Source organism: Homo sapiens, chromosome 12 (assembly GCF_000001405.40).
Source record: "Homo sapiens chromosome 12, GRCh38.p14 Primary Assembly".
In the NCBI taxonomy this organism is placed as follows: domain Eukaryota; kingdom Metazoa; phylum Chordata; class Mammalia; order Primates; family Hominidae; genus Homo; species Homo sapiens.
The window spans coordinates 114,718,514-114,733,355 of record NC_000012.12 but is presented as its reverse complement, the minus strand read 5'-3'; the positions used below and the strand labels follow the sequence as shown (position 1 = coordinate 114,733,355).

The window sequence follows — 14,842 nt, the reverse complement described above, 5'->3', positions numbered from 1 at the left end:
AAATATGTATAATATATAATATATATTATATATTTAAAATATGTATAATATATATAATATATATTATATATTTAAAATATGTATAATATATATTATATATTATATATTTAAAATATGTATAATATATAATACATTATATATAAAATATATTTACAAATATAAATATATATTTATACATGTAAATATATATATTTATATATGTAAATATATATTTATATATTTACATGTATAAATATATATATTTATATATATTTACATGTATAAATATATATAAATATATACATATATGTATATATTTAAGCATTTATTAAGATTGTATGTGTCTGTGTGTGTGTTTGTTTCATAAATGTTAGTTTCTGGAGCACTCAGGCTTTCCAGGTGTAAAATGAGGTGAAAAGACCAGGCTTTTGCAAAGGTCAGAGCCAGCTTTCAGAACCCTGACTTAGCCAGCACCACTTAAATGTTGGTTTCCTGCTAAAATTGACCTGCTTGTCCAGCCAGTGACCCCGGAAGTGACCCCATGCTTGGGTAGACAGCAGCCTCAGGCTTTGAAAACGACCTGGATTTCTGGACTGCTGGCAAGGAAATGAGAGGGCTGGGGGTAGGGGCAGGGTCTCTGCCTCCCAGGTCTCCTGGTCCAGTCCCGGAAAGCCCTAATTCTGCAGGTCTCCCTGGCCTGGAGACAATTAACCATCCATTTCAGAGAGACCTCTGTCTGTCTGTGTCTGTGTGTGGCCCTCTCAGCCAACCAGGATGAGGGAGGGATCCCCCACCGACCCCCACCAACCTAGGACTGCCCATGTGAGGACACTGCCCATTGGCCTGTTGCTGTGCTTTGGGCAATGGGTGGGGAAACAGGAGAGGGAAGAAGTCATCATCTCCCCATCCTCCTCTCCCAGAGGCCAGTTCTGTATGCTGCAGAAGAGGTTGATCCTGCCTTAACCTGCACCTCTCCCTAGAACCCAGTCAGGCCCCATCCATGAGGCCTCTGGCTCTGCCCCTCTCTGGTCCAACCAACTAGGAGCCCGTGGCTAGATGCACTTAAGCCTGGAATGAAGCTGCTGTCATCAGACTCGAAGAATCCATTAAACATCAGATCCTGCATCCTGCCTTCTTCCTCCATGGGTTACCAGCAGCAACTCAGTACCAATCCCATTCATTCTGTACCTCTCTCCCCTGGCAGATACTTTCCCCTGTTCATTTCAGTTTAAAATTAAACAAATTTTAAAAGTTGAGATAATGATGGGAGGTAAGGTGAACAGGATAAAAATGTTGGGAAGCCGGGCACGGTGGCTCACGCCTGTAATCCCAGCACTTTGGGAGTCCGAGGTGGGTGGATCACGAGGTCAGGAGTTCAAGACCATCCTGGCTAACACAGTGAGACCCCATCTCTACTAAAAATACAAAAAAGTAGCTGGGTGTGGTGGTGGGCGCCTGTAATCCCAGCTACTCAGGAGGTTGAGGCAGAGAATTGCTTGAACCTGGGAGGCGGAGGTTGCAGTGAACCGAGATCACGCCACTGCACTCCAGCCTAGGTGACAGAGCGAGACTCCATCTCAAAAAAAAAAAAAAAAAGTTGGGAAAAGCCCAGTGATCTGAATCTGGATATAAATCCTGGTTCTGCCACTTAACTTCCTGGGACCTTGGACTTACCATGTAGGCTTTCTGAGCTTAGTCAATATATCTATCTGTAAGAGATGACTGTCGGGGCCAACCCTATGCTCAGCCACATCGGATTCCCTTTCTCTCTGCTTAAAGGGGTGTGTGTTTGGTTTCTCTCTCTCTCTCTTTTTCCTATACCCCATCTCAAAAGAGAGAAGTGTAGCACAGTGCTTTCATGAGAGGGCACTGCAGACAGACTGCCTTGGTTCGAATCTGATTCTGCCACTTACTAGCCAAGCCACTTTGGATGGGTGACTTCTCTCTTTTTCCTCTTCTTTTTTTAAAATTATTATTATTATTATTATTATTATTATTATTATTATTATTATTTTGAGACAGAGTCTCACTCTGCCACCCAGGCTGGAATGCAATGGCATGATCTCGGCTCAATGCAACCTCCACCTCCCGGGTTCAAGCGACTCTCCTGCCTCAGCCTGCTGAGTAGCTGGGACCACAGGCGTGTGCCACCACGCCCAGCTAATTTTTGTATTTTTAGTGGAGACAGGGTTTCACCATGTTGCCCAAGCTGGTCTCAAACTCCTGACCTCAGGTGATCCACCTGCCTCAGCCTCCCAAAGTGCTGGGATTACAGATGTGAGCCACTGTGCCCAGCTCTTGATGACTTTTTGAACCATCAAATTAACTAGCTTTCCTTACTTCTGGAGTTCTAGTTATGAAAAAAACAATCTTTTTTTTTTTTTTGGCTGAAGATGGAGTGCAATAGCACAATCTTGGCTCACTGCAACCTCTGCCTCCCAGCTTCAAGTGATTCTCCCACCTCAGCTTCCCAAGTAGCAGGGATGACAGGCTCATGCCACCACAGCCGGCTAAATTTGCTTTTCTTCTTTGAGACAGGGTCTCACTCTGTTGCCCAGGGTGGAGTGCAGTGGCACAATCTCAGCTCACTGCAACCTCCATCTCCCGGGTTCAATCAATTCTCCTGCCTCAGCCTCCTGAGTAGCTGGGACTATAGGCACGCGCCACCACACCCGGCTAATTTTTGTATTTTTAGTAGAGACGGAGTTTTGCTATGCTGGCCAGGCTGGTCTTGAACTCCTCGCCTCAAGTGATCCACCTGCCTCGGCCTCCCAAAGTGCTGGGATTACAGGTGTGAGCCACTGCTCCTGGCCTAATTTTTGTATTTTTAGTAGAGACGGAGTTTCACTATGTTGGCCAGGCCGGTCTCAAACTCCTGACCTCAACTGATCTACCTGCCTCAGCCTCCCAAAGTGCTGGGATTACAACAAAAAGTCTTTATTATTTAAGGCCAGAGTTGGGATTTTCCCTGCAGAAAAAAAAGGAAAAAGAAAAAAAAATATATATATATATAAAATACACACATGCATATAACTGTGTATACACACACACACACACACACACACACACACACACATATAACCAATAGACCTTTTTTACTGAGTGACCTTGTTTCGGAACCCATGGTGTGGCCTCTTCAATAAGCATCCTCTGGCAGGGTTGGGGAGTGGGGCACTTTTCTCCAGACGTGCTCTTGCTCTCTGTCTCCACTGAATTCTCTGGTCAGATTTTAGGCCTGCATTCTGCTCTAGCAAGTGATGCTGCCTGACTCTAAGGCCAGGTCGAAAAAGACCATTCAGCTTCCACTTGGTTCTCCCAGAACACATGTTCTCTTGTGTTCAATCTCAAGAACGTCTTAGAATTTGGTCACCATGACTTGAAGAATCCCAAGATGCAAGAAGAGGCCATGTGGAGGTCCTCCAATCAACTGTCCCAGCTGAGGCCTGCCTTTGAGTCATCCAGCCTCAGTTCCAGACATATGAGTAAAAGAGGCTTCAGATGGCTCAGGCTCTGAGCTATTCAAAACACGCCCAGTCATTCAAGTCTTCCCACCTGAGGCCCAGACATCACAGAGTAGAAACAAGCTATTCCCACTGTTTCATTCCTAAATGCCTGACCCACAGAATCTGTGAACATAATAAAACAGTTGTTCCTAGGCCACTAAGTTTGGGGTGGTTTGTTACAGAGCAGTAGATACCTGGTACAATGACATGCATCAGTCTGAGCCTCAATTTTCCCATCTGCAAAATGTGGATATGAGGGTCTTCCAGAGGAGATCTGGGAAGTGAGTGTGCCCATATAAACAGCAGATGACCGGAGCCTAAGGCCCACCGGATTCAAGAGATTATAATACAATGTGCCACTCAAATAAAGTGAGGAGCACATACTAGGCACCCCGAGATTCTCAACACCCAAATTCTCTCCTCCCTCCAGCCACTCCCAGAGAAACTCAGACCAGCTCTTCATCCAGATCTTACGTCCAAAAGGAATCCCCACACCACACACCCTGCCACCACCAACTTTCCTTTCCATTCCAATCAGAGAATTAATTTCCAGAAAGCAAGACTGCCAACAGCAGAAATAAATCACAACAGAGCAGGAGATGAACATTATCTAAAGTGAAACAATTTAGCAAAAATCTCTCCCCCTCCCTCACCCCGCTCCAAACCAATAACAATTCAATTATTTGGCCGTCACTATAAATGATGGAGCAGCCACGTGGCATCCCTGGCGTGGGAAGGGGAAAGCTATGGAAAAGGAGATGAAAACCAGCCAGGGGAACACACTGATTAGACAAACAGGAGGCAAAGCAGGGAGGTGCCCAGCCCTGGGATCAGGGAAAGGAAGAACAGCCAGCACCCTCACGTTCACTGGCCTAACACTTTGTTAGACATGATGCTATTACATCCATTACTGTGCTTGACCTTCTGAGAAGGCCTGAGATGTTGGCTGAGATAATGTAATCCATCCCTATTCAAAAGACACAGGAAGTCGTGTTCAGAAAAACATTTTTAAAATTTTATTTGAGACGGAGTCTCACTCTGTCTCCCAGGCCAGAGTGCAGTGGCACAATCTCAGCTCACTGCAACCTCCACCTCCCAGATTCAAGTGATTCTCCTGCCTCAGCCTCCCAAGTAGCTGGGATTACAGGCATGCACCACCATGCCAGGCTAATTTTGTATTTTTAGTACAGGTGGGGTTTCACCATGTTGGCCAGGCTGGTCTCGAACTCATCACCTCAAGTGATCCGTCCACCCCAGCCTCCCAAAGTACTGGGATTTCAGATGTGAGCCACCATGCCTGGTCCAGAAAAACTTTTAGGTGTAATAAAAGGAGCTCTCAACTTGGAGTGGGAAGTTGATGTGTTCATTTAACCCACGACTGTTTTGTCTTTCATTTGGTTTTGGGTTGGAGTTTTGTTTTTTGTTTTTGTTTTTAATTGAGACAGGGTCTTGCTGTGTCATCCAGTCTGGAGGGGCAGTGGTATGATTACAACTCACCTCAGCCTCGACCTCCTGGGCTCCAGTGATCCTCCCACCTCAGCCTCCCGAGTAGCTGGGACTACAGGTGTGCACCACCATGCTCAGCTAATTTTTAAATTTTAAGTAGAGGTGAGGTCTCTCTATGTTGCCCAGGCTAGTCTCAAACTCCTGGGCTCAAGCAATTCTCCCACCTCAGTCTCCAGAAGTGCTGGGATCACAGATATGAGCCACCATGCCCAGTCCCATGACTATTTTGAAAATCCACAAAAATGCCCATGCCTAAATACCCTGACTTGATCATTACATGTTGTATGGATGTATCAAAATATCACATGTGCCCCATAAATATTTGTACACATTTGTACAAATATATACAAATATTATGTATCGATTAAAATGTTTAAATAAAGATAAATACTTTTTAAACACTAATGGAGCTTACATTTTACTATAAAGAGAAATATAATCAAGCACAAGCATCATAAGTAAGGGAATTCCATGGCTTGTTAAAAGGCAAGATGTAGCCGGGCGCAGTGGCCCACGCCTGTAATCCCAGCACTTTGGGAGGCCGAGGCAGGTGGATCACTTGAGGCCAAGAGTTTGAGACCAGCCTGGCCAACATGGTGAAACCCCGCCTCCCCTAAAAATACAAAAATTAGCCAGGCATGGTGGTGCAAGCTTGTAATCCCAGCTACTCAGGAGGCTGAGGCACAAGAATCTCTTGAACCCAGGAGGCAGAGGTTGAAGTGAGCTGAGATCATGCCACTGCACTCCACCTGGGCAGCAGAGTGAGACTCTGCCCCGCCACAAAAAATAAAAATCAACTAAAATAAAAGGCAAGATGCACTATCAAAATAGAATGAACAAGAGCAAGGTAGTTTGGAGGGGGAAGGAGAGGTTTGCAATCTTGGATGGGATGGACAGCAGAGGCCTTAATGAGAAGGATCATGTGAGCAGACTTGAAAAACATGGAGGGGCCAGGTGCAGTGGCTCATGCCTGTAATCCCAGCACTTTGGGAGGACGAGACAGGCAGATCGCCTAAGGTCAGGAGTTCGAGACCAGCCTGGCCAATATGGCAAAACCCTGTCTCTACTAAAAATACAAAAATTAGCCGGGCATGATGGTGGGCACCTATATTCCCAGCTGCTCGGGGGGCTGAGACAGGAGAATCACTTGTACCCGGAAGGCGGAGGCTGCAGTGAGCTGAGATCGCGCCACTGCATTCCAGCCTGGGTGGCAGAGCAAGACTCTGTCTCAAAAAAAAAAAAAAAAAAAAAAAAAAAAAAGAAAGAAAGACATGGAGGAGGCTGGGCACAGTGCTTCATGCCTGTAATCCCAGCACTTTGAGAGACCCAGGAGAGAGGATTGCTTGCGCCCCAGAGTTCAAGACCAGCCTGGGAAACATGACAAGACCGTTTCTCTACAAAAAATTTAAAAATTAGCTGAACATGGTGGTGTGCACCTGTAGTCCCAGGTACTTGGGAAGCTGGGGTGGGGGGACCACTTGAGCCTGGCTGGTCGAGGCTGCAGTGAGCCGTGATTGTGCCACTGCATTCCAGCCTGGGCAACAGAGCAAGACCACATCTCAAAAAAAAAAAAAAATTACAAAAAAGAAAGAAAAAGAAAAAGAAATGATATAGCAGAGAGGAAGGAACTAGTCCCACATCAAAGAAATCTTTAAGCAAAAGAAATGATCAGAAGCCCAATTCTACCACTTACTAGCTAAGCGACCTTGAGCAAGCTCATCTCTGATCCTCAGCCTCCTCATCTGTAACAGGGGTGTCCCGTTCCCTAGAGTTGTTTGCAAAGATTGTGAGATGATATATGTCAGTGCCTCCCAGGGTACCCAGCTTATAGTAAGTTCTCTGGTCTCAATTTTTATAGTCAGTGCTCTGCAAATTTGCAGAGCATTTTCCTTCTCATCCTGCAGAAACAAGTTCTATCAAGTATCCCCCAACCATAAAATTAGTATTCCAGTCCTAGGAATTAACAGACTACAGGACAATCCACAAGGCCAACCATCTCCACCACACCGGGTGCCTTCTAAGTGCCCGGCACCCTGCCAGCCTCTTTCCAGGCGCTTATCTCAGTCACCCTCCCCGTCATGCTGAGGCCAGTAATTACTATCACCATGCCAGCCTCAAAGCCTGTGCTCTCAAATTCCCATGATGTCACGTCACTAAGCAGGTCTCAGCTGTCACTTCCAGTCCCCTAGAATAGGCCACAGATATGTAGGTTGCCCAAGGGATGGAAAGAACTGGAGGAAATTCTGGCCTAAGGTACAGAATTCTGTCCCTTGAGTGGACACTGGGAAGAGAGAATTCTGTCACTATCCCCAGAGACCTGTCTGAGCTGGAGTGCCATTGTGTCCTCACTCTGAGGTCACTATCTGAACTCAGTGGTCTTGAAAAAGGTGGTATAGCACAAAGCTTAAAAGCCACTAGCTTTTAACATCTAGCCAGGTACAGCAGAATATACCTATATTCCCAGCTACTCAGGAGGCTGAGGCGGGAGGATTCCTTGAGCCCAGGAGGTTAAGGCTGCAGTAAGCTATGATCTTGCCACTGTACTTGAGCCTGAGTGACAGCAGAGATCTTGTCTTTAAAAAATAAATTAAAAATAAATACATACATACATGCATACATACCCCTTTGTCCTGGGTTCAACATCCAGCCTTACCACTTACAAGCAAATATGACTCAAGGGAAGTTATGTAATCTCTCAGTGCCTCATTTTCTTCATCTGTAAAATGGAGATAATGAGGAGTTGAGTCCACCCTCTGTCTCCCCCTTGGCAAGACCCCATTGCAATGGTCCCTATAAAAAATAAAATAAAATAGGCCAGGTGCGGAGATTCATACCTGTAATCCCAGCACTTTGGGAGGCCGAGGCAGGAGTATCACTTGAGCTCAGGAGTTTGAGACCAGCCTGGGCAACATGGTCAAATGCCCTCTCTATAAAAATTACAAAATTTATCTGGGTGTGGTAGTGCACACCTGTTGTCACAGCTATTCAAGAGGCTAAGGTAGGAGAATCACTTGGGTCCAGGTGGTCAATGCTTCAATAAGCCAAGTTCGTTCCACTGCACTCCAGCCTAGGCAACAAAGAGAGACCCTGTCTGGAAAGTAAAAATAAAGTAAGTAAATAAGTAAGTAAATAAATACATACATACAATAAAATTTAAAATGGGAATAATAATGTCACCTCCTTTCTAGGGTTTTAGATGATGCTTTGCAAATAAGCTTGCCAGGCACGGTGGCTCACACCTGTAATCCCAGCACTTTGGAAGGCCAAGGTCGGTGGATCACGAGGTCAAGAGATCGAGACCATCCTGGCCAACATGGTGAAAACCCATCTCTACTGAAAATACAAAAATTAGCCAGGTGTGGTGGCACACCCCTGTAATCCCAGCTACTCAGGAGGCTGAGGCAGGAGAATTGCTTGAACCTGGGAGACGGAGGTTTCAGTGAGCTGAGATCACTCCACTGTACTCCAGCCAGGGTGACAGAGCAAGAGACTCCATCTGAAAAAAATAACAATAATAATAATAATAATTCCAAAGGCATTTGCTATGGGCTGAATTACGTCCCCCCAAAATTCATAATTTAAAGCCCAAATTCCTGGTCCTTCAAAATGTGGCTGTATTTGGAGACAGAACATTGAAAAAGATAATTAAGTAAATCAGGCCTTTAGGATAGACCATATTCCAACATAACCAGTGTCCTTAGAAGAAGAGAAGATAAGGGCTGGGCGCGGTGGCTTGCGCCTGTAATCCCAGCATTTTGGGAGGCCGAGGCAGGAGGATCACTTGAGACCAGGAGTTTGAGACCAGCCTGGCCAACATGGTGAAACCTCATCTCTACTAAAAAATAAAAAATAAATTAACTGGGCAGGGTGGCATGTGCCTGTATTCCTAGCTACTTGGGAGGTTGAGGCAGGAAAATCGCTTGAACTGGAGAGGTGGAGGTTGCAGTAGGCCGAGACTGTGCCACTGCACTGCAGCCTGGGTGACAGAGTGAGACTGTTTCCAAAAAAAAAAAAAAAAGAAGAAGAAGAAGAGAAGAGAAGATTAGGATGCATGGAGAGACACCCGGGGCACAGGGGCACACTTGGACAGAAGAATGACCATGCAGAGAGGCAGCAAGAGGGCAGTTGAGGAGAGAGGCCACGCCAGAAAACAACTCTGCAGGCACCTTGTTCTTAGACTTCTAGCCTCCAGAACTGTGAGAGAATACATTTCTGTTGTTTAAGCCACCCAGTCTGTGGTATATTCTTATGGCAGCCCTAGCTAATAAATACAATGTTCTGTTGTTGTTTTTGTGTTTGTGTGTATGTGCGTTGTTGTTTTCTTTTAAATTTTTATTTATTTTTGAGACAAGGTCTGGCTCTGTCACCCAGGCTGGAGTGCAGTGGTGTGATTATGGCTCACTGTAGCCTTGACCTCCCAGGCTCAAGTGATCCTCCTGCCTCAGCCTCCCAAGCAGCTTGGACTATAGACATGCGCCACCACGCCTGGCTATGTTTTTGATGTTTTGTAGAGAGAAGGTCTCACTACGTTGCCTAGGCTGGTCTTGAACTCCTAGCCTTAAGCGATCCTCCCACTTCGGCCCCCCTAAAGTGCTCAGATTATAGGCATGAGCCACCACGCCCAGCCTGTTTTGTTTTTAAGGTAAATTATTGTAGGCTAGTTGTGATGGCTGCTCACACCTGTAATCTCAGCACTTTGGAAGGCCAAGGCGGGAGGATGGCTTGAGGCTAGGAGTTAGAGACCAGCCTGTGCAACAAAATAAAAACAAACAATTCTAAAAGAAGACGACACAGCCGGGCGCGGTGGCTCACGCCTGTAATACCAGCCCTTTGGGAGGCCAAGGCGGGTGGATTGCCTGAGCTCAGGAATTTAAGACCAGCCTGGGCAACATGGCGAAACCCCGTCTCTACTAAAATACAAAAAACTAGCCGGGCATGGCGGCGTGCTCCTGTAGTCCCAGCTACTCGGGGAGCTGAGGAAGGAGAATTGCTTGAACCAGGGAGGCAGAGGTTGCAGTGAGCCAAGATCGTGCCACTGCACTCCAGCCTGGGTGACAAAGTGAGACTTCATCTCCAAAATAAATAAATAAATAAATAAAATAAAAGAAGACTACAGGTCCAAAGAGAAATTCAAAGAACCACATCTTCTCCACTACACTCTCAGGCGGACTCAACTCAAGTACCAACTCCAGACTGCTCCAGTTCTTTGTGGTTGTTCTTGCCCTCCGGTTTCTCCACCACTCAAAGCAGTGATATCTAAAGAGCAGAATGGGTCAGGTGCAGTGGCTCACACCTATAATCCCAGTGCTTTGAGAGGCCAAGGAGGGAGAATTGCTTGAGGCCAGGAGTTCAAGACCAGCCTGGGCAACATAGCAAGACCCCCATCTCTACAAAAAATAAAAAATTAGCCAGGCATGGTGGTGCACACCTATATTCCAAGCTACTCGGGAAGCTGAGGTGGGAGGCTTGTTTGAGCCCAAGAGTTCAAGGCTGCAACGAGCTGTGATTGTACCACTGCTGTAGCTTGGGTGACAAGAGCAAGACCCCATAGTATAAAAATAAAAATAAAGAGCAGAGTCCCAACCAATCTCTCTTGTCTTTGTACTCCTTGTATCTTAGCCCTTCCATTTCCTAGGAGGATAGGCTTGGCCAAGTTAAAATCTCTAAGCCTGGGCCCCCTGTGGTGGCTCATGCCTGTAAATGCAGCACTTTGGGACACTAAGGCAGAAGGATCACTTGAGGTCAGGAATTCGAGACCAGCCTGGCCAACATGGCAAAATCCCGTCTCTACTAAAAATACAAAAAATTAGCCAGGTGTGGTGGTGCATACCTGTAGTCCCAGCTGCTTGGGAGGCTGAGGCAGGAGAATCACTTGAACTCAGGAGGCGGAGTTTGCAGTGACAGAGATTGCACCACTGTACTCCAGCCTGAGCATCAGAGTGAGACCCTGTGAAAGGAGAAAGAGAGAGTGAGAGAGAGAGAAAGAAAGAGAGAGAGAGAGAGAGAGAGGGAGGGAAGGAAGGAAGGAAGGAAGGAAATTCCCAGTGCTAATGCAACCATTAGCAACCAAATACACCAAGGGCCTATCATAGCACATGGCACATAGAAAGTATCTAACCAATTAGGCCGGGTGCAGTGGCTCACGCGTGTAATCCCAGCACTTTGGGAGGCCGAGGCAGGCAGATCATTTGAGGTCAGGAGTTCGAGACCAGCCTGGCCAACATGGCAAAACCTCGTCTCTACTAAAAATACAAAAATTAGCTGGGTGTGGTGGTGCGCGCCTGTAGTCCCAGCTACTTGGGAGGCTGAGGCAGAAGAATCACTTGAACCCAGGAGGCAGAGGTTGCAGTGAGCCAAGACCACACCATTGCACTCCAGCCTGGGCGACAGAGTGAGACCCTGTCTCAAAAAAAAAAAAAAAAGAAAGGAACGAAGGAAGGGAGAAATTATGAATTCTATTATTTTTTCTTGTGCTTTCTCTGATACACAGGGTCCATACTCCATGACTGAAGGAGACGAAGGAAGAAGAGGATGAGATAAAAGAGGAAGAAAATAACTATCAAATACTGTGCACTTAATTGGTGTCTGGCACTGTCTGAGTGCCATATACATGGACATTCCTTTTTTTTTTTTTTTTTGACTTAGTGCCTGACATCAAATACTTGGCCATGCTTAATTCTCATCATAACCTTCCATTTTACAGACAAGAAAACCGAGACCTAGAGAGGTTACGTTACATCCTCAAGGTCACACAGCTGATAATAAAAGCAACTGATTAAGCTAATAAACACATCCTTTAAAATAAGGCTCCCGCTAAAAAAGGGCTGGAGGGTGGCTGGGAGACACACGCTCCAAATTCTTCTCCAAGTGTGACAGGGACTCACTTGAGCCTATGGAGTGCTGACAGGTGGAGAGGGTGTTTGTGCAGGGCTTGGGGACCACGCCACGGTTCCAGGAAAACCCCCATGCACCTACTGAAATACATCCAAGAGTCCTCTTTCTTTGAGTAAAACACTCCCAAGGTCACTGAGTGTGTTCCCAATCAGAGGGTCAAAAAGGACGAGGGGACAGGCCAGCTCTGTCTGAGATGCTTATCCCCCACCCCACCCCAACACACGGATCCATGCTCCACCAGGGCTGGGGCGCCACCCCGCACCCCTGCAGATGCATCCCTAGCCCCATGGCCTCTGTTTCTGATTGGGCCCTGTTTATGGGAGGCATGGGCAGGAGATAGGAGTAAGTTCCAGTTGGGGTGTCTCTTCCCTGTCCTCTCCCTGGAAGTGGCTGTGAGGCTCCATGACCACAGCTCATGCGGGACAGCCCCGTCCCCCACAGTTCCAGCCCTTGCTGGGCTCCATACACCCCAGTTCCGGCCCCTGCTTCCTCTATTGCTGGCCCCAGAGTGCTTAAGCATCCCTTGTTGGTTTCTTCAGCCATGTCCACCTTTCTATAAATAGTCCTGTATTAAATACTTCCTGATTGAACAGAATTGAATGAATTCTGTTTTTCCCAGGACTCTGATCACGATAAAGTTAGTGCGAAATTGGAAAAAAAAGATCCTAGTTTCTAATTGTCTCTCCAAAACCCAGTTTCAGACAAAGGTAAAGTAGAAGTCTAAAGATCTTAGATGACCTTCTGAATCTAAAATAAAAGTTGAATTTTTAAAATATTATTATTATTATTATTATTTTTGAAACAGAGTCTCCCTCTGTTGCCCAGGCTGGAGTGCAGTGGCATGATCTCGGCTCACTGCAACCTCCACCTCCCAGGTTCAAGTGATTCTCCTGCCTCAGTCTCCCAAGTAGCTGGGACTACAGGTGTACCACCATGCTTGGCTAATTTTTGCATTTTTAGTAGAGATGGAGTTTCTCCGTGTTGGTCAGGCTGGTCTCAAACTCCTGATCTCAAGTGATCTTCCCATCTCGACCTCCCAAAGTGCTGAGATTACAAGCGTAAGCCACTGTGCCCAGCCGAAATTATTTATTATTTTTTAAAATCTTAAATGGCCTCAGATATCAGCTCTGTCCAGCTCTCTTCATACGAGTTCAGACCACTGGGAAGAATGAACTAAGTCTGGTGACTATATCCAGACAGACCTCAGTTCAAATCCTGATTCTGACAAGGTTGTGAAATTTTGGACATGCCACCTACATTTCCTGAGCCTCAGTTTGCTCATAGAATGCACATTTTTATAGGATTGTTGAGTGGAGGCCACAGTGAATGGAAAGCGAATCACTCAGCACCTAGCCCCATAGTAGGTGCTCAGTAAATTATTGTTCTCCTCATCTTTCTTCCCCTTCCCTTCTCTAACTTCCCCCTTCCTTTACCTCAATTCCTGTCCTTAACCCAATAACGAAAGAAGTGAGAAAAAAAAAATCAACACATCAGGATTGCTTCATGGTTCACAAAGAACTTTCACAGCTGTTACTTCATTCCTTGAAGCAAATTGAAACTCTTACAGGTGAAAGGCCATAGCTTCTAAGTGTCTCCAGCCAACCAGATCAGGAGCAGAAGACAACCTTTAGAACAAAAAGTGAGAAAAATCAGGGTTTCTTGAAACCTTAATTATCCATCAGTTATTACTTGCTCTGAAACAAACCACTCAACTGTAATGGCTTCAAGCAACCACGATGTATCATTTCTGATGGGTGGGCTTGTGCTGGACAGTTTTTGGAGTGAGGACCCCTAAGATAGCCTCCCTATATGTCAGAGCTTTGTAGGTTAAATGCTGGAAACTGGGTCTTGATATGAGCTCTCATCACTCAAGGATCTAGTTGAAGCTTCCTTCCATGGTACCAGGAGGAGATCAGGAGATGTCACAAAGCATCATTATCCCCATATCCTGGTTTTTTTTTTTTGTTTTTTTGTTTTTTTTGGAGACAGAGTCTTGCTCTGTCTCCCAGGTTGGATTGCAGTGGCATGATCTCGGCTCACTACAACCTCCGCCTCCCAGGTTCAAGCAATTCTCCTGCCTCAGCCTCCTGAGTGGCTGGGATTACAGGCACGTGCCACCACACCTGGCTAATTTTTGTATTTTTAGTAGAGATGGAGTTTTGCTATGCTGGCCAGGCTGGTATTGAATTCCTGGCCTCAAGTGATCCACCTGCCTCGGCTTTCCAAAGTGATGGGATTACAGGTGTTAGCCCCCACACAGGGCCCAGACTCCACCTCTTGGTAGGAGGAGGGGCAAAGGCCTAATACAAAGGAGCATGGAAGGAATTTTTGCAGCCATCCTTGGAATCCCCCATTTCATCTCCCTGACCCCCAACAAGTAGTTTGCTATATGGCATAAAGCTGGTATCCTAACTTTGCTATTCCTCATTTATACCTTTAGATCTCTGAAGAGTCTAATCCTTGACTTATCCACCACTGAAGGTCATGAGGAATGTATCACAACGTGACCGAGTTCATCCTACAGTCTAACCGAAACCCACCCTCATCATCACACAACAAACTTGGCATTTCTCCTTAACTGAAAGGGAGGTTAAATTCCCAAACATACAGGCTCATGAATCAGGAACTATACAGTCCATTGCACCCAGCTCTTTTTATTTGTAGATCAAACTGAAGCCCAGAGCTGTTGAGTGACTTTTCTCAGATTACACAGAAAGCACAGGTAGAAGGGAAATTGAACGCAGGTGCTGGTGCCTAATCTCTTTCTCGCCTCCCTTTAAACACTTAATGCTAGGAAAATTATAGTTCTCTGTTCTTCTGATCAATTGCCCCCAGTTGGCTGGCGTAGACAGAAAAGTGCCTCAGTTTCCCCTATCAGGCTGTTGAAGTTGACCATCACCCCCGACCTTTCTCCCAGGTGTGCTGTGAACACTAATGAGTTAACCTGTCTACAAGCCTAA

General features: G+C 46.0%; 1 long non-coding RNA gene across 1 annotated transcript in view; it reads right to left on the bottom strand.

Moving 5' to 3' along the window:
- Window positions 1–14,842, bottom strand: part of TBX3-AS1 (TBX3 antisense RNA 1) — an 85,697-nt gene that overhangs the window by 34,633 nt on the left and 36,222 nt on the right. The window lies entirely within an intron of this gene.